This window comes from Homo sapiens, chromosome 14, assembly GCF_000001405.40.
Source record: "Homo sapiens chromosome 14, GRCh38.p14 Primary Assembly".
Taxonomy (NCBI): domain Eukaryota; kingdom Metazoa; phylum Chordata; class Mammalia; order Primates; family Hominidae; genus Homo; species Homo sapiens.
The window spans coordinates 60,954,806-60,981,930 of NC_000014.9; the positions used below are offsets into that span (position 1 = coordinate 60,954,806).

The window sequence follows — 27,125 nt, forward strand, 5'->3', positions numbered from 1 at the left end:
GAAAAGCTTTCAACTTTTAACAGTTTAGTGTGATGTTAGCTATCGTATTTTATATATATATGGCCTTTATTGTGTTGAGGTACATTCCTTCTATATGTAATTTGTTGATAGTTTTTATCATGAAAGGACGTTGAATTTTGTTAAATGCTTTTTTTATATTTATTGAGATGATCATATGGTTTTTGTACATTATGTTAATGTGGTGTATCATTTTCATAGATTTCCATATGTTGCATCCCTGTGACAAATCCTACTTGATCATAGTGTATTGATTCTTTTAATATGCTGTTGATTTTGGTTTGCTAATATTTTGTTGAAGATTTTTACATCTGTGTTCATTATAGATATTAGACTGTAATAGTTCTTTTCTTTAATATCCTTGTTTGGCTTTTGTATTAGGGTAATGCAGGCCTCATAAAATAAGCTTGGAAGTATTGTCTCCTTTTCAGTTTTTAGAAAAATTTGAAGAAGGATTGGTATTAATTCTTTTTTGAACATTTAGGAGAATTCAGCAATGAAGCCATCAGGTTCTAAGCTTTTCTTTAATGACATTAAAAAAAAAATTATAGATTCAGGCCAGGTGTGGTGGCTCACACCTGTAATCCCAGCACTTTGGGAGGCCGAGACAGGTGAGTCACCTGAGGTCAGGAGTTGAAGACCAGCCTGGCCAACATGGTGAAACCCCATCTCTACTAAAAATACAAAAATCAGCTGGGCGTGGTGGTGGGTGCCTGTAATCCCAGCTACTGGGAGACTGAGGCAAGATAATTGCTTGAACCCAGGAGGCGGAGGTTGCAGTGAGCCAAGATCGCACCATTGCACTCAAACCTGGGCAACAAGAACAAAACTCTGTCTCTAAATAAATAAATAAATAAAAGATTCAATCTCCTTACTTTCTATTGGTTTGTTTACAATTTTTATTGCTTTATAATTCAGTCTTGGTAGGTTGTCTGTGTCTAGGAATTTATCCATTTTTTCTGAGTTCTCCAATTTATTGGTGTATAATTGTTTAGTGATTTTTTTCATACCTATGTGGCCTCAATTGTAATATCTCCTCCTTCATTTCTAATTTTATGTATTTGAGTCTTCTTTCTTTTTTCTTAGTTAATCTAGCTAAAGGTTTGTGAGTTTTATGTTTTTAAAAAAACCAACTTTTAGTTTCATTGATTTTTTTTCTTTCTATTGTATGTCTAATCTCTATTTTATTTCTACTCTGATCTTTATTTCCATCCTGACTGTAACTTTGGGCTTCCTTACACTAACTAGTTCTTTAAAGTGTAATATCAGGTTATTTGAGATTTTTTTTCTTTTTAAGTATTGTCTTTTATTAGTATAAATTTCTCAGGACTGCTTTGGCTACATACCATAAATTTTGGTGTGTTATGTTTACTTTTTCATTATTCTTAAGATATTTTTCTTGAGAATCAAAACTTCCCTTTTGATTTCTTCTTGAACCATTGATTGTTCATGAGTGTGTTGTTTAATTTCCACGTTTGTGAATTTTCTAGTTTTTCTTCTGTTACTGATTTCTAGTTTCATATCATTGTGGTTATAAAAATTACTCAATATGATTTCAGTCTTACTAAATGTGTTAAGATTTGGTTTCTGGGCTAACGTATGATTTATTTTGTAAAATGTTCTTTGCACTCAAGAAGAATGTGTATTCTGCTGCTGTTGGCTGGAATTTTCTGTATACGTCTGTTAGGTTTATTTTGTCTGAAGTGTAATTCCAGCTTAGTGTTCCTTTACTGATATTCTTTCTGGATTATCTATCCATTGTTCGAAGTGAAATGTTGAATTCCCAACTATTATTGTATTGCTGTCTATTTCTCCCTTTAGATCTGTTAATATTTGCTTTATGTGTTTAGGTGCTCTGACTTCGGTTCACATATATTTACATTTGTTATATCCTCTTGATTAATTGATCCTTTTATCATTATCTAGTGACCTTCTTTGTTTCATGTGATGGTTTGACTTAACATCTGTTTTGTCTGATGTAAGTTTACCTGTCCCTGTTCTTTTTGGTTTCCATTTACATGGAGTATCTTCACTTTCATTCTGTGTGTGTCCTTAAATGTGAAGTGAGTCTCTTTCAGGCAGCATATAATTGGGTCTTATTTTTTTTTATCCATTCAACCACTCTATGTCTTTTGATTGGCAAATTTAGTCTATTTACATTTAAAGTAATGATTGATAGGTAAAGATTTACTTTTGCTATTTTGTTAATGGTGTTGTAGTTATTTGGTTGTTTTGGAGACCTTTTGTCCCTTTTTTCTTGCTGTCTTTCTTTGTGATTTGATGATTTTCTGTAGTGGCATGTTTCTTCTATTCCTTTCTCTTCATCTTTTGTGTATCTACTGTAGGTTTTTGCATTTTTGTTACCATGAGGGTTACATAAAACATCTTATAGTTACGCTAGTCATACAAAAACATACAAAAACTTACTTTTACTCTCGGTATTAGTCTGTCCTCATCCTGCTAATAAAGATATACCTGAGACTGGGTAATTTATAAAGGAAAGAGGTTTAATTGACTCTCAGTTCCACATGGTTGGGGAGGCCTCACAATCATGGCTGAAGGCGAATGAGGAGCAAACACATCTTACATGGCAGAAGGCAAGAAAGCATGTGGCAGGGGAACTCCCCTTTATAAAACCAACAGATCTCATGAGACTTACTCACTATCATGAGAACAGCATGGGAAAGATCTGCTCCCGTGATTCATTTACCTCCTACTAGGTCCCTCCCATGACAGGTGGGAATTATGGGAGCTACAATTCAAGATGAAAATTTGGGTAGGGAAACAGCCGAACCATATCATTCTTCTCTTATATTTTATGTTTTCTGTGTCAGTGTATGTATTTTTACATTATATATCCATTAACAAATTTTTGTAGCTCTAGTTCTTTTCTGGAAATGCTTTTGTCTTTCAACATTTATATTAGAGTTATAAGTAATTTACACACTACCAGTACAGTGTTAGGGTATTCTGAATTTGACTATATATTTACCTTTGTCAGTGAGTTTTATACTTTGATGTTTTTTTTTTGGGGATGGCGTTTCACTCTTGTTGCCCAGGGTAGAGTGCAGTGGCACGATCTCAGCTCACTGCAGCCTCCGCCTCCCAGGTTCAAGTGATTCTCCTGCCCCAACCTCCCGAGTAGCTGGGATTACAGGCATGCACCACCACACCCAGCTAATTTTGTATTTTTACTACAGACAAGGTTTCTCCATGTTGGTCAGGCTGGTCTCGAACTTCCGACCTCAGGTGATCTGCCCGCCTCACCCTCCCAAAGTGCTGGGATTACAGGCTTGAGCCACCGTGCCCACTCTATACTTTCATGTTTCTAAGTAGTGGCCTTTTGTTAAAGTCTGAAGAACTCCCTTTTGCATTTCTTGTAACACAAGTCTAATAGTGATGAACTCCCTCAGTTTTGTTTGTCTGGAAAAGTCTTTGTCCCTCATTGGTGAAGGATAGCTTTGCTGCATAAAGTATTTTTGGTTGGCATTTTTTTTTTCTTTCACAAACTCTTCCCACTTACTCCTGGTCTGCAAGATTTTTGCTGAGAAATTCATCAGTGGTCTTATTTAGCTTCCCTTGTATGTGATATGCTGCTTCTCTCTTGCTGCTTTAAAAATTCTCTGTCTTTGATTTTTGAAAATTTGATTATAATGTGTCTTGGTGAAGTCTTCTCTGGGTTGAATCTGATTTTACATCTTTATGTTTCATGTACCTTGATGTTTATATCTTTCCCCATATTTAGAAAGTTTTCTGACAGTATTTCTTTCTCTTTCTCTTTCTTTCTTTTTCCTTCTTTCGAGACAAGGTCTTTTTTTTTTTTTTTTTTTTGAGACAGAGTCTCGCTCTGTCACCCAGGCTGGAGTGCAGTGGCGCGATCTTGGCTCACTGCAAGCTCCGCCTCCTGGGTTCACACCATTCTCCTGCCTCAGCCTCCTGAGTAGCTGGGACTACAGGCGCCCACCACCACGCCTGGCTAATTTCTTTTTGTATTTTTGGTAGAGACGGAGTTTCACTGTGTTAGCCAGGATGGTCTCAATCTCCTGACCTCGTGATCTGCCTGCCTCGGCCTCCCAAAGTGCTGGGATTACAGGCGTGAGCCACTGCGCCTGGGAGACAAGGTCTTACTCTGTTACTTTGGCTGTACTGCAGTGGCATAATTATGACTCACTGAAGCCTTAACCTCCCAGGCTCAAGTGACCCTCCTGCCTCAGTCTCCCAAGTAGTTAGGACTACAGGCACACGTCACCACTTAGGCACCTGGAGATTGGGAAGGCAGAAAACTGTGGGATGCCCAGTGGCCAAACCTGCAGGGGGTCTGTTGTAGCTATGCTGACTGCTAGATTCCTCAGCAGCCAGCAAAAGCCTGTTAGGGTCTTCTGCAGAGCAAGCTGCCGTGGTCCACCTCAGTGAACACCGTGGTATCCTCAGGGGTGAAATCTCTTGTGGTAGCCACAAGGGCTGTTGAGGTCCTCAGCAGAGAAGGCTGCTGGAATCCTGTGCAGAGCAGGCCACTAAGGATAATAATGATTTCTGCTTATATGGCTGATACTGATAGCCCCCATCCTTCTTTGTTTCCACCCATGCCAGTCTCTTCAGCAATCTGGGTGGGGTATAACTAATGCTGGTTGCTGATTTCTCAGGCAGTACCCTGAAAGTCTGGGGAAGCTGCTCTTTCATCCTGCTCTCCATTGCCATGCCAGTGATTACAAACTTGGGAGTTCCTTTTCTATGCTGATCAGTGCTAGCCTTGGGAATGGGATGATAAAGGCAGAATGAACTGTTTCTTTCTTTTGTGTGGTTATGGAATTTTTGTGTCATTACTTATGGGAGTTTTCTTCCAGTGTATTGCTGTAGTTTCTTAAGTAGATTCCTGAGCTCTTCCAGTTATTCCCATTCATGGGTAGCGTCCAATTATTGTTCTTTGTGAAGAAAACGAAGGCTGGGTTTTCCTACTTAGCCATCTTTCTGACATCATTCCTTGCTTTTCTTTATAGCTTTGTCATATTTACATATTCCATGTTTAGCTTTGCATGTTCAGAATTTAATATGAATGGAACCATGCTCTTCATATTCTTATGTAACTTGGTTTTTATGTTTTTTTTTTTTTTTTTGCTAAGCATTGTTTCTGAGAGTCAGTCGTATTGATGCATGTACATAGCTGTAACTTATTTATTTTCACTTCTGATAGTATTCCATTGTATCAATAACAAGTTTATCCATTCTCTTGTCAATGGACATTTGGTTGTTTCTGTTGTTCTTTTGCTATAAGAAACACGTCTGCTGTAAATACTATGCATATGCCCTTTGGAGTCCTTAGGTGGGGGAATCAAATAGGTTACCTTGTCTCTGTTATTATTGTTTTCCTCCTTTCCAGGTGGCTTACACCTCCCTTGTGTCTACATTTTTTGCAACTCTAGAAAGGAGGGGAAGAGAGTTTATGAGGTATTGGGGATAGCAGGGGATAGCTGCATTTACTACCCTTTACTTCAAAATAGCTTCTTTTGTCAGACCATTACACATTGTAGTTCTCTAGGCCTCTGCCTTAGGCCCTCCTCTTTTCTCGTTCTATCCCTTCTTCTTAAATATTAACATTTATTTTTATGGTTTCAAATACCATCTAAATTCTGGTAACTCCAAATTGGTATCTTCATTTCATAACTCTCTTCTTTTCACTTGGCCCATATATCCAGCTACCATTCCTCATCACCATGCATATGTCTCTACTATAATCACTTCAGACTCAAGTCCAAAACCAAAGTTGGGATCTTTCCCTTCTTTCCTCTCCCACCCTTAATTGCTTCTCCAGTTTTCTATTTCTCTGTGAGGGCATCTTCCCTGATCTATGTGATTATGTGACTAGGTACCTGGAAGTTGACCTTGACACTGCTTTCTCCTTCCCACCCTCATATTCCCACCCCCATATCCACCCACTCACTCACTGAAATATTTCTAAACCAGTAGTTTTCATTATTTTCACTGCCACCACCCTAATTCAAATCACCATTGCATCAAGCCTGGACTAGAGAAACATCCTCCTAAGGAATCTCTCTGTATCTACTCTTGCTTTTCTCTAATCCATTGGGCAGCCAAAGTGGACCATTTACATTATCAGGTTTCCTTTTTACTTTCTTTTTTCTTTTTTTTTCTTTTTTTGAGACGGAGTGTTGCTCTTGTTGCCCAGGCTGGAGTGCAATGGTGCGATCTCAGCTCACCGCAACCTCTACCTCCCGGGTTCAAGTGATTCTCCTGCCTCAGCCTCCCGAGTAGCTGAGATTACAGGCATGCGCCTCTGTGTCCAGCTGATTTTGTATTTTTAGTAGAGATGGGGTTTCTCCATGTTGGTCGGGCAGGTCTCGAACTCCTGACCTCAGATGATCCGCCCACCTCGGCCTCCCAAAGTGCTGGGATTACAGGCATGAGCCACCGCGCCCGGCCATCAGCTTTCTAATAATAACTTTTCAGTGGCTTCCCAGTGCCCTTGAATAAAATCCACAGTTTTTAAACATTTTCTATAAGGCCATCTTTTGTGTACTTTCTGCCTACATCTCTAGCCTCATCCTGAGCTGAAACCACCTGTCCCCTATATTCTCAATATGTACTGTGTCTCCTTACTCCTTCATATATGTTCTTCCCTCTCTCTGGATCACCGTTATACTCCCCTTGCCTTCCTAGCTAATTTTATCTCTTTGGATCTAAGCTTAACTGTCATTTTTTTAGGGAAACCTGTTCTGATCTTATTCATGTTGGCTTCTCTTTTTATCCACATTCATCAAGCCCTACTTTCTCATTTGTAATATTCATTATTTAATATGTTTCTTTTCTGCTGGATTATACGGTCAATGAGATCACGAAGGCTTTGTTCTCTGTCTTATTATCAGGGCTACTTCAATACCTGGCAAATAGTAGGCTCTCAGTAATTTTTTTTTTGAGAATGAATGAGCTGCATGTATCTAAATTTCTGCATTTTTGTCCCCTCACTCTTGGAGATAAATTACTCATCCTGCCTTTATAAAGATATGATGAAAATTCTGGCACATAGCTGTTACTAACATGGAATTTCTAGTAAAAAATTACATTAGACAAACCAGAATCAGGCACTAGGTTTTTTAAGGAATATTACCAAAGAAATTCAGAAGCTAGTACATTTATTTTTATAATATCTACTGAATTTCCAAGAAGTGACACTTGTTCCTCATTGGGATACACAAAATCTAGGCTCATATTACTTGCTATTTTTAGATTTTTTAATGAAACTTTGCCTTACTCTGTCTCTTCCAGTCATTATTCTGAATAAATTAATAGAAATGAGTATCATAATGTTTTAAGAATCAAAAAATAAAAACAATATTTATGCCATTTTTCTGTGTAATGTCATCTAAGCATATAATGGCAATACTGAAATTAGACAAACATTGTATTAATCTCTTGTGGAAATAAACATCTGACTTGGAAGAATATACTTAAAATTTATCAAATATCTTTTGGCCTATTAGCTACTGTTTATTATCTGTTTTTCATGGCTCTATCTATCTCATAGCCCATGTTCCTGAGATGTTCCTGTGTTTAAATGTATGTAGTATATAGACAGAATCTATCCTTAGAGGTCTATCCTTTGAGATAATCAGCACTACCAACAACATTGTTCATAGAATATATTATACTTAAGTAGCTATATCTTCTGTGTGTTCTATAGTTCACACTTAAATCAAGGAAGTAATCCTTTCATTATGTAATTATATTAACTGTCAGTAATAACTGTTCTATCCAAAATACCTGGTGTGCTCTTTGATAGCAATAAATTACACAGTTATAGTATAACTGGACTTATACTCCAGTTATAAGGCAGAAAGTCTTCTCCGAGCAATCTATATTCAGTTATTAAATATGAGTAATAATAAAGCATTGTGTTCATTTGGAAACCATGTGTCTTTTAATTTCCAAATATGAGTTTTGGTGTTTGATTGGTCTAAATGTCTGGCATAACTATTCACTCTCTTTCCAAGTGTATTGATGTAAATCTGAATTCAGTTTTATTATTAGTTTATTCAAATTGTATTCTCACTAGCTGGCTAGATGGTAAAGTGTAAGAGTAACATATGACTGCCTGTGGAAGTTTGTTACATTTTTGTTTGGACTTCATGAAGCCATATGTTTTTTGTTTTTTGTTTTTTTTAAGATGGAGTCTCGCTCTGTCGCCCAGGCTGGAGTGCAGTGGCGTGATCTTGGCTCGCTGCGACCTCCACCTCCCGGGTTCAAGCGATTCTCCTGCCTCAGCCTCCTGAGTAGCTGGGATTACAGGTGCGTGCCACCACGCCCGGCTAATTTTTGTATTTTTAGTAGATTCGGGTTTTCACCATGTTGGTCAGGCTGGTCTGGAACTCCTGACCTCGTGATCTGCCCACCTCGCCCTCCCAAAGTGCTGGGATTACAGGCATGAGCCACCACACCCAGCCGGCCATGTATTTTTATAACCAAGCTGCCCTCAGAATTATGAATAGTATTTCTGACATGTAGTGTCTTTTCTCATTTATCTTAGAATATATGGTTACCACTCTATAAACAGTTTGTCTATTATTCTGGTACTGTGCTTAGTTTAAGACACCTAACCATTAACTAGTTTTCAGAATGGTTTTGCTTTTTAGTGATAGTTGTGTGAGCGCACTGTTGCTCTGGTTGTTTTTAAATCTCACTGAGGTAGGCTTCAGGTTGTTAATGTAAATCTTTATAGCTTTGGCTGAACTTCCTACAAGAGCTGTGGGTCTTGATAGCTGAGATCAGCTGGCTGATCTCTCTTAATGGCAGTTAGATTTGAATTTTGTGGGCTAGGACACAGATCTGTTTGGAAATGGTCTGTTTAATGCATGATGGCTTTAAATGAAGACTAAAAAAACGGGCCACCTTGTAAAAAGAAAGTCTTAGTCTCTAGAGTTCACTACCTTTCTTAGTTTGAACCAATCCAAGTTTTTAACTCTCCATAGGGCCCGGTAATTTGAGGTGGAGGAAACTAATATGAACTTTACATTTCATTTCAATATTAATTCCAAGCCAGTGTGCTTTAAGGATTGTCACAAACATATTATGACTGGACAGGAAGAGTGCTTGCCTCTTGGTCTTGAGTGACAAGCCCTGCCCTCTGCCCCTAGCTGAGAACTCAAAGCATTGTTAAGTAGCACTAAAACGAGCTGAGTCCAAGACTTCAGCCAGATGGTCAATATAGTGCTTTTAAAGGAAGGGAAATAGGAAAAGAGTAATCTCAGAAGCACTCCTATGTTAAAGAACTAAGAAACTGAAGTCTTTCTGAAGCTAAGTGTAAATTATTCCACTTTCTTTGGGAGCAAAAGCTGCAAAATATAACACAAGAAAATGACAGTGTAGGAAACCAAAGTTCAGGAACAAACCTTCAAGTGTGGTTTTCTAATGCTTAATCGTATCTTACGCCCTTCTCAGGATCCATTGCTCCTTTTCCCTCCCTCTTCTCCAAGGTCTGTTTGAAAGGGATTTTGATGGGATAGGAAGGCAGCTTTAGACAGAGCATAAATTAGGGCATAAGATGTCCTTTGTACAAGAATTATCTTAGACATGCTTTCAAAAACATACTTTTTTTGACCTTATTAAGAAAATAATCAAAGGTATGATTTTTTAAGTCTTTGAGTTTAGTCTGCTTTCAGTAAAAATAAGGTATAGGTACCAAAATAAGCAAACCTCGTTTTTACTTTCCTGGTTTCTGCTTATACGATTTACACATATTTAAAATAAACCCATGAAAAACAGGAATAGTGTCATGGGATTGGCTAAATAGTCAGAGCAATTACCTCCAGGCTCCCAAACCCAACTGAGCTTGACTTTTGGAAGTAAATTTGGCTAAGACTTCTTCCTCATTCTGTTTTATAAAGGTATACATGAAATGATACTGACTTCTGCCAGAAACCCCAGGAATCCTGTTCAGTGATGTACTTGTAATGGTCATGAAAGAATAAAAACACAGATGTGGATTAAGGTAGAAAAGTACAGAAAACACTAAATTTTCATTGTGCTGTTTCAATGTGGCAGATTCTTTAAAATACTTCGACATGCTACAATAATTAAAGGTTTTAAGAACATTAAGATACTTAAAAAATAAAAGCCCACAATTGAATAACAAAAATGAACTTTGTTTTATTTTTTATTGGCATTAATGTAGGTTGCCGTGGTGAAAATAGTTTGAAATACTTCACAGTAACAGTTTTGTGCAGCCCTAGAGATCAAAAACAGCAAAGTAAATAAGCAGGACTCTCAACGACTCATACTCACAGACATGTTTAATGTAAATGATTGCTAGAAGGGAAGGGCATTTTCTTCAGTGCTATGCAAAGAAATTTTAATTGACTTGGTTTTGGCAGTGAGAATTGTACAACTTAGCATTAATAAGTCAAATTTAAAAATTTGCTCATTACTCTGGATTATGACTATGTTCAAGAAATACTATTTTCAAGCACTAATCATTTAGATAAAACTTTTTTTACACATTTATGGCATCAAGGAGTATGACTGTTTATAACATTTTACCTATAAAGCTGAACTGTTTTATATACTCTTTATGGAAACATGGCCATAAATTAAAAGATGCAACTGTTTTGAATATTTTACTGGTGGTCCTCTGTTTTCCTGCCAGCAGTGCAGCTGTTTCAGGTTTCTCAGGATAACATATAAAAAGCTGTATGCACACTGCAAGTTTATGCTCAAATTGCCAAGCCAGATATGGTATGACTCAACTTTCCCAGAAGCAAGCTGTACCAAAATGTGATGAATCAAAACAGTTAGTTGCACAGTGGTTTGTATTACAGCTATGAAAACCAATTCTCATTTATGATGTTTGGCTTTTCAAGGTTGACAAACATTCTACTGTGGTGCTTGAATTTTACCATAAGTGAACATCTATTGAAGCTAAGACTATGCTTTTCTTTTGAGGATCTGAGGAAAGGAAAGGGTGATACATTATCATCTGGTGTGCGGATAAAAATTAGCTGGAAACTTGTATCAGGAATGGAACATTTCATTTCCAAGTTACCTATAAAAATATTACTCACTTATTATTTGTATGATAGTTATTGAATTCCCTGTGAAGCCAGGTTAATTTTTAGACCTTTCTGAGGTAACTTAACATTTACTTCATTTCTCATGCATCAGAATCTTAACAGTTGATACTTTATTGTGTCTTGGAAAGTAATAAGCAGATAACTTTATGGCCATGGGGTAGGTGTGGTGAATCCCTATTTCAATCCTATGCGACCTAAGGTTCTATCAAGAGTTTAACAACGACTATTTTTCTTTTTTTTTTTTAAACAGGGTCTCACTCTGTTGCCCAGGCTGGAGTGCAGTGGTGCGATCTCCGCTCACTGCAACCTCTGCCTCATGGACTGAAGTGATTCTCTTGCCTCCCAAGTAGCTGGATTACAGGCACCTGCCACTGTGCCTGGCTACTTTTTCTATTTTTAGTAGAGACGGGGTTTCACCATGTTGGCCAGGCTGGTCTGAAACTCCTGTCCTCAGGTGATCCACCTGCCTCGGCTTCCCAGAGTGCTGGGCTCACAGGTGTGCGCCACCACACCCAGACAACAATGACTAATTAATAATAGTAGTCTCTAAAGTGGGATGTGTCCCATGAGGATATGTAAGATACAGTATATGGAGAAAATATTAAAACATTCATTCATTAATTTATTTAGAGATGGAGTCTCGCTGTGTCACCCAGGCTGGAGTGCAGTGGCGAAATCTCGGCTCACTGCAACCTCCACCTCCTGGGTTCAAGTGATTCTCCTGCCTCATCCTCCTGGGTAGCTGGGATTACAGGCATGTGCCACCACGCCCAGCCAAGTTTTTGTATTTTTAGTAGAGATGGGGTTTTGCCATATTGGCCAGGCTGGTCTTGAACTTCTGACTTCAGATGATCCGCCCACCTTGGCCTTCCAAAGTGCTGGGTTACAGGTGTGAGCCACTGTACCCAGCCAGAACTTTTATTTAAATATTTTTATTTCATCCTTTTTCTATTTATATTTTTATATTACACTGACTATATTAGTATCTTATGTATATAATTATATATAGTAACATATAGTACATTAGTATTCTACATAAAACATATCTGAGATATGTTTTATGGCTATAAAATACTATCAAAAATGTTTTTGTTTTTGTTCAATAAATATTCTCTTCTTCCTTCCGCTTTCCCCTTTCGCCCTTGGCAGAGAAGCAAATAATTGAGTTAAAACCTTGATTTGTGGCAATGTGAATAAATTATAGCTAATTCCAGGAACTTAGCTGCATCCTACCTTGACCCATTTTTTCTACTGGACTCTTATATTGCTCTATATGTTTTAGCTACACAGGTTTATTAAACATGGATACAGATGAAAAACAGACTTGTTATGTTAGAAGTTATAAGTTGCTCATGCATTAAGATTTTGACACACAGGAAGTTTGAATGAATGAGTGAAAAAGGTTCCAAGTTATTAAAATGTTCTGGTACCTGATTTATTCATTTGCCATACCAGTAATTCTAAGGTGGGTGAAGCTCCTTTACTTCCTGAAGAAACAAGTTAGTTTCTTAAACTAAGCATTAAAAGAAAGCTGGAATTATTTGTTTCCAGAAGTGTTAGTAGTCATGCTAAGTTGCCCTTCTTTGGCTAGATTGTCCAATGTTTTTTAGGCCTGTTTTGTCTATTTTTGTCAAGATATAAATGTTTAATTGCTTTAAAAAAACTGTGTGGTTGCAGAAAAAAATTGTACTGTTATATTGTTGAGATCAATGAGACTTTTCTGTATTTACTTTTTCAGACATTATTTTGAACTCAGGCTCAGTCTCAGAGATTTCTTCAACATGTAATTTTCTAATGTTTCCTTTCCTGCAAGGAATGAGACAATATATTCTTGGAATATTAAAGTACTTTTGAAGTAACTCATACGTTTTCTCCCCTCTTCCATTTGTTTAGCTATTGAGGGTTTGCTTTAAAACAAATTTATGTAGAAATATCAGTACTATAATAGTATTGTGATACTGTGTATTTCTTAAGCATATGCCAGGAAGGAGAGCATTAGTTAGGTGTCCAAAAAACAGCCAACAAAACAAATCAGCTCTGAAAATCGTGAAGCAGTGAATATTTTAGAATTATTTTTGAAACCTCTTTCAGAACTGTTTTTAGACCCCGTGGTAATTTGCTATGTAATTTAATACTAGTTTAGGCACTCCATGTACAGTTGGTATGTTTCCTTTTGAAAGATAATAATCTATTTATAATAAAAGTCTGAATATTTCAATCTCGGAATTCCTCTTTAAAACTTGAATCAGTTTTACTATTGCTTTTTAAAATGTTACCTATTTATATTTGCTTTGTATATCAATGCTACACTTCTTGTTTTGTTTTAGGTATTTAAACCATGTCAGAGCTGCCTCACCACAGGACCTTGCTGGAGGCTATACTTCTTCTCTTGCTTGTCACAGAGCACTACAGGATGCATTCAGTGGGCTTTTCTGGCAGCCCAGTTAACCATTTATAAGATTTGGACCTTGGAGCTGAACCAGGGAGCTAGCAAAAGTAAAGCAGACTTATAAAATTATAGCTATGTGCAGCTGCACAACACAGTCCTTCCACTAGCAGCTGTGTTAAAGTATTTATAAGGAGAAAATTTCAGAACTAAGTTGAGTAATATAGGGGATATATATTTGTGAAAAATAATTTTTACTTATATTTTTCAGAGGATTTGACACGATAAGCCTCATCTGATGGAAGAGAGGAATAAATAATTCACCTATATGTGTTTGAGGTTGTGACAGACTTATAAAATCTTTTTAAAAAATAAAGCTATAATTTATATTAAGTTCTGTGGTTTTTCTCTTATTACAGTGTTTTACTTGAACACATTTTAAATACCATTTTGATTACAACATTTACTGTTAATATCCAAGTCTATTATTTCTTCTCATAAAATGTTCCCCTTTTTCCTAATGTCTTGTTAATACTAGTCCAGACAAGTGGATATATTTCCTTTGACCAAGTTATGGCAAGAAAAACCTGACCCATGATAATGTCATTCCCTCAATACTAAGGACTCAATGCCTGTTTTAAGCAGTGGAAAATGAGGCAAACCTTGATCAAGGTGTTATAGTTCCCAGCTGTGAGCCACACTCAGGATAAAACAAAACCCAGCATTAACCTGCTTTAGTGACACATTCAAAGAAGTTAATAAAATTTAATACTTAAATGATACCTTTCACCTCCAATGTAAGCTCATTTTATGATGAATCCTTTGGAGACTGGAGAAGGTACATTTTAAGTACAGTTCCCTATGTATAAATTGTATACTGATACAGTTTTTTTGTTGAAACTTCAAAGGCTTTTATTACCAGGGTTTTGCTTAAAGAGTTTAGATATGAATAGGATGATATTGCAGCATCTCAACCTTGTATGAGTCTGTTACATAGAGCATTGGATATGGGATATAGTTTCTTAAGGAAATTAAGGGATTTCCTATCAAATCTCTATTACAACAGATGTTAGTTTTATGGGTAGAAACTTAGGTGAAACAAGACTTGTGGTTACATTAGGATGGACTATCCATCTGTAACAACTCCATCTTATTTTACTAAGCAGTTATTAATTAATTTTAGCAATACATCTTCATCTTTATTGTACTTCTATCTTTGTTAAATGAGAAAACCAAGGCATCAAATAATTGAGTAGACAAAGATCATATTCACAAGTTAGTAAAAAGCCAGAATTAGAATGCAGGTTTTTTTTTTCAAAGTCCAGTTCCATCTACATTCTACCAGACTGCATATCCTATTCCTGTATCTATTAGGTATTCCCGAACTGAGGATTAGTGTTTTTAAGTACAGTCTATAAATCTGTTCAAAGAATAGTTAGAACATTGAATGTAGAGTTAAGGCTTTGCAGCAGCCAATTGCAAAAATAAGGAATCCAGTCTTTTGAAAAGAAACACTACTGCTTGTTCTCATACCTTTTATAAATGTATTTTAAAAAGAATGAACTAATTAATAAAACATATCAAAGGCTTTTAAGGCTTGTTTTGAGCCTGCCTTATTGTGGAAATTGCATGCACCTGGTTTGGCAAATAAATTCCAAAACCTTTATACATTTGTAAATATTTTGTAGTTGCTATTGCTGTACTTTGTTCAATAGGCCAAATTTAGAAGTTAACTGACCTTATTTGATCAAAGGGAATGGTGAAAAATAACTTAGTGACAATTCACTGAGGTTTAGTGAATTCACTGAATTTACCAAACAACAGAAATATTCTAAATTGATGTGCTTATCCCCTACCATCCAAGTGATTTACTCTTAGAGACAAAGGCTGTACATATCTTTCATCTACATGAGTTAAGTCTTCAAGTATTTTATGAGTACAGAAGTAATAATTAACAACTACTGTATTACCTGTGTCCCAGGCACTGCTTCATGCTTTGTGTATTACGTAATCCTCAAAACAGTTCTACTAGTATTTTCCCCATTTTAACAGATGAGGAAGCTGAGACAGTGGTTAGGTAAGTTGCCAACAGTCATATAACTTAAAAATAGCAGAGCTGGGATTTGAACTCAGGCAGCCAGACTCCAGAAGCCATGCTCTAGAGATGACTGTCAAACAACTGCTGTGCTAAAACTAGTCCTGGTAGTCGAACTTCATAAGACTTCCAGGAGGTTCTACAGATCAAGTATCTAGATCTTTTATGAGATATAAATGACATCAACTAAATGATCTTGTTGATGTCCTAAGAGAAGTTCTGAGAAATTCATGATGTAGAAAATGATTTTACTAATAACTATACTCCCTCTTAAGCAGATATTAATGGTACAGAATACATTTACATCATAGTTAGTATACATGATTACTTAGTATTCCTTAATTTGATTCAATGAATATTTCAACTATGCTTCTCTTAGAAGTTGTCTTTAGGCTCTCAACAGGTTGTCAGATAATTATTTTAAAATCCAATTAAGGTGGTAGAAAACCTGTCAAAAAGTTAACAAAATTAAAAATTGTATCTAATGAGCTTTCCAGCTTTCTAGCTGTCATTTTCTAGTAGATTCATCAGGAATTCATTTACTAGGTATCACATCTGAAAGTTTAGGGTGGACCTAGATTTAAATAATGAATAATCACTTATCCACTCTGAAAGGGGGAAGTTAAAACGTTAATAGATACATCTAGTTCTGTTTTCTTTACAATTACATATTGCATATTTTGTCCAGAGTAACTAAATGGAGACAAGAGTCTTACCACTTTACATGTATAAATAAGAACATCATTTGTACACATACTTTATAACCTAGGACATCAGTGTACAATACTTGGGCTGTTTCAAAACAATTTGAATTAAGTAAGAATGAGTGTTCCAGTTCATTACATCCCTATACTGCTTATCATTTATTGCCTTCATTTGTTTACATGACCTGCCAGACTTCTGAAGGCATTTGAATTTGTAATTAATGATCTAGATTAGGGTTCTTAAACATTTTCTGTAGGGCCAGATAGTAAATATTTTAGGCTTTGCAGGGTAACAAGCAAAATCGTGGATATTATGTAGGTACTTACAGAACAAGCTAAAACAAATTGCCACACTTTTTTTTTTCTTTCAAACTGTATCCAGCTTTATTAAAGATACTTTCCATAAACAATCATGGTATTTCAGGCAGGACATGGGCAGACAGTCATTAACAGTATACAACTTTCAAACTCTCTTCTTCAATGGACTACCAAAAATCAGCCGCTATAAAACCCAATGAAGTCCTCATCTGATGCTCTGAACAGGGAAAGTTTAGAGGGTTAACATTTCACATTTAGCATGTTGTTTAACAACTTTTCACAAGCCAACCCTGACTTTCAGGAAGTGAAATGAAAATGGCAGAATTTATCCGAAGATCCATAATCTAGAAATGGAACCACTGCTCTTTTGACAGGTGCCATCTCAGTGGCATCACTGGAAAGTCCAGATTGCCAGACACACTGGTAACCAATGACCGGGGGTCAGGTCCCAACAGATGTCTGGGCTTAAGGGGATTAAGTCTATGCTGAAAGATGGAAAGGGAAAAGAAGACATAAAAACGAATTTGTTTTTCCATACCACAAGGCTTTTGTGCCAAGGTGGCCATGTGTGTCAAAGTCAGGAAATCCCTCCTCCTGGGAGCCAAGAGGAAGTCTCTCAAAACTAGAAGGGAAAGATGTTTTCCCCGTATCAATCCAGCTTCAGAGATATTCTATTAGTGACACATACCCCTTCCCCCAAAAACAACAATGAAGTGTTCTGTGTGCTAACAACATAGCTTAAAAAAAGTAAAACAAAATTCTGCATTTTTATAAAACTTGATAAAGAATATTTCAAACTGTACAGTCACCAGAAGTACAGTTATAAAAAATGCACACACTTCACTTGGGATCTCCAGCACCTTCCCGCTCCTTGCCAGCATCAGCTTTTCTCTTTTTCCCTTTGGGTACCTTCTCTCCCTTCTTTGCAGGGGCCTTTTTAGGCTTGGGCTCTGGCTTTGGAGGAGCAGGTTTAGCAGACAACCTCGCAGATCTTCTCTGTGATTCATCCTTCACCTTGGCTTTATCTCCTTTAGCATCCCCTTCAGTCTTTCTCTTGGGCATGGCGGCGGCGGCGGCGGCGGGATGTGGGCACCGGGTGTGGGACGCAGCAGCGCGCGGGCTTTGGTCGGTCCAGGGGTCGTTCTTGCCTCTTCTCCTTCACACTGCTCCCACGCTTTTTTAATTGACAAAATTCAAAATATAGCCCAATTTTTTGTAATGCCTTTTTTGGTGAGAATAACATTGCCTCTAATCAGGGTTCTAAGTAAGTGTTCCCTGTGATCAAAATCAGTTGTAAATGATTGCCTATTAATGGTTATCATTAACCATCATTAACCATTAATACTAATGGTAATAAGATTTTACACATTTCATCTTTAAAAATGTCTTCTCATACAGATAGGTATTGCCAAATACTGCTATCAATCCAGGAGCATATGAAATTAACTGAGCATATTCATCACTTGGAAAGCATTTGTAAAATTCTTTTACATTTCTTCCCTTGAAATTTGCCTTTTAGCATGTCATTATTTTAATCACTTCTTACTGAAAATTAGGTTGAATCACCTCAATTGCAGTTAAATAGATTTTGAAACAGGGAAATTTCCTTTGCACTTGCACCTAGGTCCCTAAAAATGCTGAACTCAGAAAATATACTCACTAAAATTTGTGGGAATGGAAATCTTGTTTCTTTCTCTTTGATAGTATGACAAATGTGTAAGGATATTGTCATCAAATATTGTGATTCAAATATCGATTGTCAAAATGACTGTACCATATCAAAGTTGTTTTGCCTTGTGTTTTAGGCCATTCTTGCATTGCTATAAAGAAATACTTGATACTGGGTAATTTATAAGAAAAGAGGTATAATTGGCTCACAGTTCTCCAGGCTATAGGAAGCATAGCACTGGCATCTGCTTCTGGGGAAGCCTCAGGAAGCTTTTACTCATGGTAGAAGGCAAAATAGGAGAAGGCACTTCACATGGCGAAGGCAGGAGCAAGAGAGTGTGGGGGGCGAGTGCCACATACTTTGAAACAACAAGATCTCATAACTCATTATCTTAAGGACACCACCAAGGGGATAGTGCTAAACCATTCACGAGGGCCACATATAAGGGCTCACACCTGTAACCTTCACACATTGGGAAGCCGAGATGGGAAGATCTCAAGCCTAGGAGTTCAAGGTTACATTGAGGTGTAACTGTGTCTCTACACTCCAGCCTGGGCAACAGAGCAAGACCCTGTCTCTAAGTAAAAATAAAAATAGAGTCAAAGAACCATCCAGAATCATTTCCTTTTTAAAGTGACTATTTATGTCGCTTTCAATGTCCTTAACTCTTTAAGCAACTGTTCTTGCCAAAGGCCAGTAATCTTAAGTTTATTTTCTCTGGATATATTCAGCTGCTGCATCCAAACATAATTAATTCACACCATCAATAAATGGCTTTGCTTGGCTAACAAATGATTGACTTAGAGACTTACTGTTGTTGCAGCCTCATTTTCATTTTGTGAAGAAATTCTGCTTTGTTATTTCCATTTTAAATTTTCTAATTTTTCTAACAGTTGCTTGCCTGTGAGTTGGGAATACTGTGATGAGTGGTTTGTCTGGTAATGTCAATGGTTATTCTTTTAGCTTAGCTATATAGATGCTTTGTCGTCTAATTCAACATCAAAATAATTCACACCCTACTGTACTTTAAAAATAACAACAAAGTCCACTTTTCTTGTTTTGCTATAATAGATATGCTCTGGTAATAAAAAATAAAATGTGGGTTCATGTGATATACATGGCACTCAAAATGCTGTCGTTACAACCACATCAGTGATTTGTGATGTGTCAAACAGCAGTGTGAAGTGATGACAGTCACATTCAGTGTGTGTTGCAACCACTCAACTCTGCTATTGTTCAAGAAAGCAGCTGCAGTCCTCACTTCAGCAGCACATATACTAAAAAACTGGAATGGTACAGAGAAGATCAGAATGGTCCCTGCGCAAGGATGACATGCAAATTCGTGAAGCGTTCCATATTAAAAACAAAAAACAGCTGCAGATGATATGTAAACAAATGAGCATGGTATGTTCCAATCAAACTTTATGAACTCTGAAACTCTTAATTTCATACAATTCTAATTTTTAAAACTGATACATAATAGATGTCATAAAATTTTCACGTCACAAAATGTTCTTTTGATTATTTTTCAACCAATGGAAAACGTAAGAACATTATTAGGCCACAGGCCATATGAAAACAGGTGGTGGGACAGATTTGGCCTGCAGGATGTAGTTTGCCTGCCCCGTTCTAAATAATTTCATTTTTTATTACTTTTATGGTGATAGTTAATTGGCAGTAAAGGAGTAGTTACGTAAAGGACAACTACAAAGTGGTGTTAATACCTTCCTAGTTAGTACTCAATCACCCTACTTTCAAAAATTATTTTCCCTGAGAGAAAATATTTATTCATATTTATCCAATAAAAATTAGATATATTTTGTTATAAAATAATTGTATGTTATAATTTAGATAACAGGGAATGTATTTGGTAGCCTTAGTTCAGTTAAAGTTTAATTGGTAATCCTCAATTTGTAAAATAAGGCAAAGTACAAGGGTTCAATAGTAAAAACCAAACCCTAAAATTTTATTAAATAATACAAATTCTATTTCACTACATGTAAGTCTGGTAGGGAGATGGAGAAAACATTTCCAATTAAGTGTTTGAAACAATTTGTGTTTTTTCGTCTGAAAAGGCTTCAGCCGTCCTCTGCCTTTTAAGAGGTGGATCTTCATGATTCTCTGTAATAAATCCAGAAAACCTATTTTAGGTAAGATATTAACAGTTGAAAATACTCTTAAAAAAACAAACAATATAGGCATTTTTAATCTAGTCAACTTAAACATGAAATAACATTCTTGCAGATTTACTATTTTAATGAAATAGCCTTCTATTAGACTGAACTAACACAGTAGCTTTCTATTAGACTGAACTAATACTGCATTAAAATTTGTAAAACTGGGAGGAATTAGTTACAATTGAATGGCAAGGTTTACATTTAATTTCCCAGAAACTGCTCACCTGGATTTCTGGTCTGGTTCTTGTAGAGGACAGAGGCAGGAATCTGAAACGTGATGCACAGCATTTCCTTGTTTGGGGCCACATTTCTTACCAGGTGAACTGAACTGCATGCCTCCAGAGAAATGCCTAACACAGCTCCAGCCCTTTGCCGAACATCCTCAGCAGGGTTAGCATCTTTGGAAAAGCTATAACAATGCACTATGGGAAGGAACTCACTGCTGCATGGCTGCCCATCTAAAAGCCACTTGAAAGCACTAAGAAACTCTATAGCTTTTGCTGGCAAGTTCATGACAACGTGCACAGAGGGTTTTCTTTCTTTTGACAGACCCAGCAGCTGCATTAACTCTTCTTTGACTGGTCCTTGGAGGAAGTCTTTCCCATCCAAGTTGAAGACTTTCACCTTTTGGTCCACTTTATTTAATTTACAGTTGTACAACAGCCATTTATGAGATTCAGGATTGAGATCATTGGCAAATACAGTGCAGTTTTTCTTTGCTACTGGAATGGCAAAGGGCCCAACCCCAGCAAAAACATCAAATAGGACATCCCCAGGTTTGAGAAGTTCTGTGATACGGCTGTGTTCTGTAGACAGACGAGGATTCCAATAGACTTTTGAAAAATCAAATTCATAGGTGTAGTTGTTTTCTCGAACCTGAAAAAAGGTGTTATGCTTTTTGGTTAATTTCCTTGGTCCTAAATCCTAACCATTGATATTGGATAGGTTGTGTATACACACAGGCAAACACATACACATTTAAGTTTACTACTGTAAGAGCCAAACAACAGTGCATTTAAAGGCATTTTAATTAGACTCCTGGTGTTTATGCTATTCCTAAGGCCAGTTAATATACTGCATTAGACTTATTCGTGAGAAAAAGTCATCTCTTTAAAGCCAAATGGCTCTCCATCTCAATCCTATAGGGCCATGGCCATAAAGTAGTTACCATATCACATGAGGAATTTTTCAGACAGGCCAATTAACTGGCTTAATTATACTCTTATGTCACCAGATAGACAAGGCAAGACCTACAATTTTGAAACAACACACCACCCATATCTTCATGCTGGGTAGCCAAGTTGCAGACAGTACTTCTATGCAGCAAACAAGCTTCCCTCCTTATTTAGTTTTGTGTTTGTAAAAGGGAGCCATGGTAGATGTGTCACTCAATTTTGAGGTATTTTACTATGTTTTTCGACAGCTACTTGAACTTTGCAAATTTGATGTCTATAAATTAGAGCCAGTGTATAGAATGAATCATTCCCAGATTCTCTTTCCCAAATTTGAGTTTTCATGGGTAAACTAAATATATACAGTGAAGCTAATTCTTGAACAAAAGACTTTTTAACGTTTCTTTTGGGTCTATTGTAGTAGACACCTTAAAAAACAGAAAATAAAACTTAAGTTACAGTCATGAAGTATGACCTCAGCCATCATCTTAAACTCATTAATTTATGCATGAAGAATCAAAGGCCAGAAAGTTCATAAGTTCTATAAATCTCATAGATAGATACATCTTCCATCTTCTGCTTTCCAGGACCTTAATTCCCAATTTGTATGTATATTTTTTTTCCTTCTCCCAACCATATCAGATGCTTCCGGCCAAATTATTAAGGTTACAGAGGTGGAAATGTTTCTGCAAATTTCTGCCAACTAAAAGTCTTTCTGGGTATAACCTAGAAGGTTTAAATATATCTCGAGAACTATTTTATACATACTGTTCTATAACTTGCTTTTTGTCACTTATATTGCTTTCTGGCAATTGTCCATTGTCAACCTATCGATGGACAACTTATTTTAACAAATATGGAGCTAAAAAACCTTTAATGATGGAAATATTCCATTGTATCACTATATGAGAATTTAACCAATTCTTCTGAAAAGGCTTTATCAGTGTTATTCCATCAATAGCATACATAAGTGATCACATTCTCACATACTCACCAACACTGGATGTTACAAGTATTTTAAATCTTTGTCATCTATTCTGACTCTAAACATAATATTGATATACACCTTACTTGGAGATAATAAAATATACCTTTGTCATCATGTTCTGCTCTCCAGATAGCACTTCCATTTGGAAATTTCGGTACATATTGTCAATATTATTTATTTTATTTACTGCTGAGGTGATTCCTGGATTTTTGTCAATCATAACCTGGCCTAAAAGAAAAAATGAAAATCCATAATACTGCCTATTGGTTGCAAAATAAAAGCTAACATTGTTAATATGAAACAGAAATGAGTTGTATTTCTTTTGGTTGATAAAGACTGCACCTACTGTGTGTAATGTGGCATGCAATTTAAAAAATTCAACAGATGACTAAAGTTAATGTCTGACGGTTGCTAATATGCACACACAAAATGTTGGGTACATTTTTAAAGAAAACGTTTTGAGGAGTTTGGGTCTACCTAATGTTTTTTCCATGTTTTACTAAATCTTTTCAAATGAACCAATAAACAAGGAACCAAAAAGGTAGATCACAAGGAATTGGGAAAGAATGGAAAGAGATGTAAAGGACCCTGGCAACAAATGGCCTCAGAAAACAGTAAAACATCTGCCGGTTCCACTGGCCTCAAGCCAAATGTCTGTTTTACTATGGCTTTGGAACAAATGCCCCCACTTTAGAAATATATGCCAGCAAAACAATGTTTCCAAAAAAAAAGAAACATAGATTATTTACAGTCCTATCTAAATTAAATGTTCATTTACTTCAGAGCAAAAAAAGCTACAGAACTGGCATACTCATGGCCATTTGATGAATCTATTTTTTTAGTTAGCACTTTAAAAAAGTTATAAAAATCTATATGCTATCTCATTGCATAACTTGATTTGTAAATCAGCACACAGTACCCAATTATACAATATCCTGAAATACAACCAGCATTTGTCCCATTTCTGATAATCAGATACTTGTTTTTTAATATAGTATCAATAAACGAATTAATCATTGTTCTTACCCTTTCTGCTTCATGTATCTGAACTCAACTTTTAAGGTACAGAATTTAGTTTGAAATGAGGAATGAAATTTATAAATTTTTAAAAACTATTCTGAAGGTCTATAGTAAAAGCTTTAAAATTACTACTGTATGAAAATGTTTCACTTTTAATGTATGAGTGCCTCTATGAAAGAAAGTTTATAAAATAGGAATGCCAGAGGAATGTTTGAGTTAGGGTAGGCAGTGACTCACAGGAAAGCCTAGACTTGACATTTGTACCCAGTCACAATTACAAGGATCTGCTTAAGTATTTATGTTACCACTATCCATTATTACTCCCTTCATCAATAAAAACAAAAGAAATGTGTAACAGGACAGTATGGTGCTTGACATATAGAAGAGGCTCAATTGGTTGAATCAATGAAAGCATAAGTAAACATCTTGCACTTTTGACTATAAAGTACCCAAATTTATGAAACCTAGTATTTAACATAGCCCTGAAGGCCTAACAAGTCTTGTGTACCAAAAAGATCTCTCCTCAATGTAGCTGCCAAAGCATGTGATTCAAGTTTAATCTACACTGATGTATTGTTGTACACAAAAGCCTGGACCAGTATTTGGAACTTGCTATGACTAAAGAAGATATTTCAAAATGGCCCTCAAAAGAGGGTATGTAGCTCAAGATCTAGCTTAAAGTTAACATGATAAAATGTTCTGCCTCTGTAACTTGGCATTAAAAAAAATAATTTTTAAAGCTAAAATTAACAATTTGCAAATTCCCTTCAAATACATGAATATTACTATGACACACGTACCAATTAAATGTTTGAAAGGCAGCTGATGATCTCGAAGGTTTAGGTGTGCAATATGTCCAATCCTGCTAAACCCTGAAGTTACATCTTGACCTTCAGGAAGCACAGCTCTCAAGATTTCTTCTGACTTAAAGTGTTCATATGTTAGTTCCAAATTGTATTTAGAGATCTGTGGACTGACATTAAGCTGCTCTAAAACACTGAGTTCTGCTTTCTCAAAGGAATCATGAGTAAATATTTTATAGGGATCCAACATGATTAGTCTACTTTCTTTATCTTCCGGATCTTCAATCACACGTCTTATGCCTGGGCGCTGCAATGCTGCCCTTTTTAGGGATCGCATCAATTTACTGACTATTTCTTTCCTCACTTTAAGCACTGGAATGTTGACTGTCTTTTTAAAAGCTGTTCTATCAAGTTTTGTCATGCCTCGGACATCAGAAGGTGGTGAAAACAATTCAGTCTCTCTCTCATGTGTTTCTGTTTCTGGCATGGTTGAGAATCTTTTTCTTTGACCCAATAAGAAAATACCAGGTGCTTCCAAAAGCATCTGTGTCAGGGATGTCCAAGCTACTGGAATCAACGATTTTGATTCAGTTATGCTATGGCTTTCCAGTTTCAGAAATCTTCCTGAGAATCCAAATGGCCTCCATAAGATCCTTAAAAAAAAAAAAAAAAAATTCACACACGACAGCTTTTGAGAATAAAAATCTAAATTCTACTATCTCAAATAACGGGCTAAATGCTGACAAATAAAACGTTTAGTGATGTGTGGGAAGTATACTATCTTTTCCAGACTAGGATGACTTCTTCAGGAAGTCGTATTAGTGGTAGATAATAGTGGTATATATTAAATTTACACCTTCAACCCATCTGCTCCCAGTTCAGAGGGCTTAGTGATCCATTAGCCATACTCAATGATCCTCTTCACCCACAATTTTCTAGATAATACATTTGGGATTGGAAGACTGAAGTATGAGTTAAATGGTCATCTGTAAATGAAATAGTCATTATACATGACCATTACTAGTGGTGATATTTATTAGGATAGTCTCATGGGTGCTTATTGTGTCAGATACTGCGCTAAATGCTTTATGTACATTATGAATCTTGGGAGGTGTGCAGTATTGCACCCTCATTTTGTAAATAAGTAAACTAAAGCTCAGACGTAAGGTAACCCACCCAAAGTCTCCCAGCTGATAAGTGGCTAAACATGGATTAAAACCTAGTTTTGACTGACTTCGGTGCTTGTGTTCTTAATATATTGCTCTGTTGTTTGTTTTCGATGCTTTACTGCCACATGTCCTGCCTTTAACTAGAGGCTTCTGTATTTTGAGGACGAGAGCTTTGCTGATTGTTATATGCATAGTATCAGTTATTCACTGTCTTCTAAAATACCAAAGAATTTACTTGTAAGGGGAAAGGGCCCTGTCCCAGAATCCTGTAAAGCAACGAAGTCTAACTTCACCGTCAGAGATCAAATTGGTTCTAGCAGCTGACCAGCTGGGTGACCCTGGATAAATTACTATAAGTCTCGGTTTTCCCACCAGTAAAATGTGGCGAAAGGCTTTTGAAACATTCCTTACTATCCAGAACCTCGAAACTAAGCTCAGCACCTAGGCGGGTGGGTGACCTCGCGATGTTTCTGTGCCCAGGCAGCACATGGCAGAGAGCAGCCCTGGGCGGGCTGGTACCTCCCCTGGACCATTAGCCCCTAACGCGGCCGCCACCTCACCAAAGCACCATTCCAATTCCCCACGTCGCTCTGCAGCTGGATCCGCGAGCCGACCCCTCACCTCCCGCTCCGGTACCGATCGGATGTGGGTCGCGGGTGGATGGGCGGGTCTTCTATGACATCATCACTGTTCGCCGCGAAGAGGGCGCGCGTCATCAGATCAAGTCGACTCGCTCCTCTCCTTCCAGGCCCTGGTGAAGTACGGAATGCCGGAAGGGCCGGGCTCAAAGCTCCGCCTCTGGCGCGACCGACGACTGGAGCGCAGGGCAGGGGTAGAGGCTCGTAGATGGAACTGGTAGTCAGCTGGAGAGCAGCATGGAGGCGTCCTGGGGGAGCTTCAACGCTGAGCGGGGCTGGTATGTCTCTGTCCAGCAGCCTGAAGAAGCGGAGGCCGAAGAGTTGAGTCCGTTGCTAAGCAACGTAAGTGGGCTGTGTTCGCTTCCCCGCGCTGACGCCCTCCGGCTTCCCTCAAGTGCCTGCCAAATAAGACCCAGAAAAGGAGGACCGCACCGGGACAGGGGAGATGCTGGAGCCTGAACCCTGGGGGATGGGGTCTGAAGGCAGCCGCCGAGATTCAGATGAGATTGGCGCAGTTATGAACGTGATAGCAGCCTAGCATACTCTAGAAAGAAAAGATGAAAAGCGTCGGGTGGAAGAGATGCAGCGTTGAGTGGAAGCTGCGAACATGATGGGATGAGCGGCCCTAGGATTATGTACTCACTGCTGTTAGTTAGTATTTTTGTCACCTTATTTTCTCCACCAGTCTCGTGAGGTCTTTGCAAGAGTCACAGGATTTTCCTCTTCCGACTTAGTCATGGGGGGAGGGAAAATAATAAACATTTTAATACAGAAATTCTTAGCGGTAGAATGGAAGTGGCTTGGTAGTAAGTGCATAGCACGTTCCTGACCCTAAAGCCTGTGCAGTGGGCACTCCGCTTTTTAACTCGAGTCCTAGACACTGTTCCCAG

The 27,125-nt window shown here is 37.3% G+C and overlaps 3 protein-coding genes and 1 pseudogene across 30 annotated transcripts in view, besides 2 other annotated features; 3 read left to right on the forward strand and 1 right to left on the reverse strand.

Moving 5' to 3' along the window:
* Window positions 1-15,160, forward strand: part of MNAT1 (MNAT1 component of CDK activating kinase) — a 235,205-nt gene extending 220,045 nt beyond the window's left edge. For 5 of the 6 annotated variants that reach the window (NM_002431.4, NM_001177963.2, XM_017021332.3 and 2 more), the window contains one exon: window positions 13,424-15,160. In NM_002431.4, coding sequence (NP_002422.1) covers window positions 13,424-13,544 — 121 coding nt within the window. In that variant the 3' untranslated portion in view covers window positions 13,545-15,160. The remainder of the gene's footprint in view (window positions 1-13,423) is intronic. The other variant, XM_005267688.4, reaches the window with a different exon arrangement.
* Window positions 16,636-26,885, reverse strand: TRMT5 (tRNA methyltransferase 5). 3 transcript variants are annotated; one of them, NM_001350253.1, is made up of 5 exons: window positions 26,219-26,885; window positions 24,426-25,081; window positions 22,709-22,833; window positions 20,670-21,321; window positions 16,636-20,389 (listed from the first exon to the last, which is right to left on the reverse strand). In NM_001350253.1, exons 1-5 carry the CDS (start codon window positions 26,311-26,313, stop codon window positions 20,304-20,306), a joined length of 1,614 nt encoding a protein of 537 aa, NP_001337182.1. In that variant the 5' UTR covers window positions 26,314-26,885; the 3' UTR covers window positions 16,636-20,303. The 3 variants fall into 3 exon arrangements, with proteins under 3 accessions (NP_001337182.1, NP_065861.3, NP_001337183.1); NM_020810.3 differs by having other exon boundaries at window positions 26,158-26,274; NM_001350254.1 differs by having other exon boundaries at window positions 26,039-26,274.
* Window positions 19,522-19,630, forward strand: RNU6-398P (RNA, U6 small nuclear 398, pseudogene; annotated as a pseudogene).
* Window positions 22,966-23,260: a silencer, noted in NCBI's record as "tiled region #5996; HepG2 Repressive non-DNase unmatched - State 3:PromF". NCBI's record gives its function as "represses a minimal TATA promoter and a strong SV40 promoter by Sharpr-MPRA in HepG2 cells {active_cell/tissue: HepG2}" and the evidence as "EXISTENCE:reporter gene assay evidence [ECO:0000049][PMID:27701403]".
* Window positions 26,164-26,543: an enhancer, noted in NCBI's record as "active region_8484". NCBI's record gives its function as "activates an Ori minimal core promoter by ATAC-STARR-seq in GM12878 lymphoblastoid cells {active_cell/tissue: GM12878}" and the evidence as "EXISTENCE:reporter gene assay evidence [ECO:0000049][PMID:35858748]".
* SLC38A6 (solute carrier family 38 member 6) overlaps window positions 26,440-27,125 on the forward strand; it is a 102,489-nt gene continuing 101,803 nt past the window's right edge. For 16 of the 21 annotated variants that reach the window (XR_007063987.1, XR_007063988.1, XR_001750164.2 and 13 more), the window contains exon 1: window positions 26,440-26,577. Coding sequence is in view for 16 of the 21 variants with exons in the window: in NM_001172702.2 (NP_001166173.1) it covers window positions 26,473-26,577 (105 nt within the window). In the remaining 5 variants the exon portion in view is untranslated. Of the gene's footprint in view, window positions 26,887-27,125 lie in introns of all 21 variants that reach the window. The other 5 variants (NR_033344.2, XM_017021022.2, XM_047431005.1 and 2 more) reach the window with 2 other exon arrangements.

Excerpts from the sequence above, each read along its gene's own strand:
- TRMT5 (NM_001350253.1), bottom strand. The coding sequence starts at position 26,313 with ATGACGCGCGCCCTCTTCGCGGCGAACAGTGATGATGTCATAGAAGAC. Across the intron at positions 21,322-22,708 it reads AGCAGAACATGATGACAAAG|GTTCGAGAAAACAACTACAC; the intron begins GTATATTTTATT and ends ACCTTTTTTCAG. Across the intron at positions 20,390-20,669 it reads GAACCAGACCAGAAATCCAG|AGAATCATGAAGATCCACCT; the intron begins GTGAGCAGTTTC and ends GATTTATTACAG.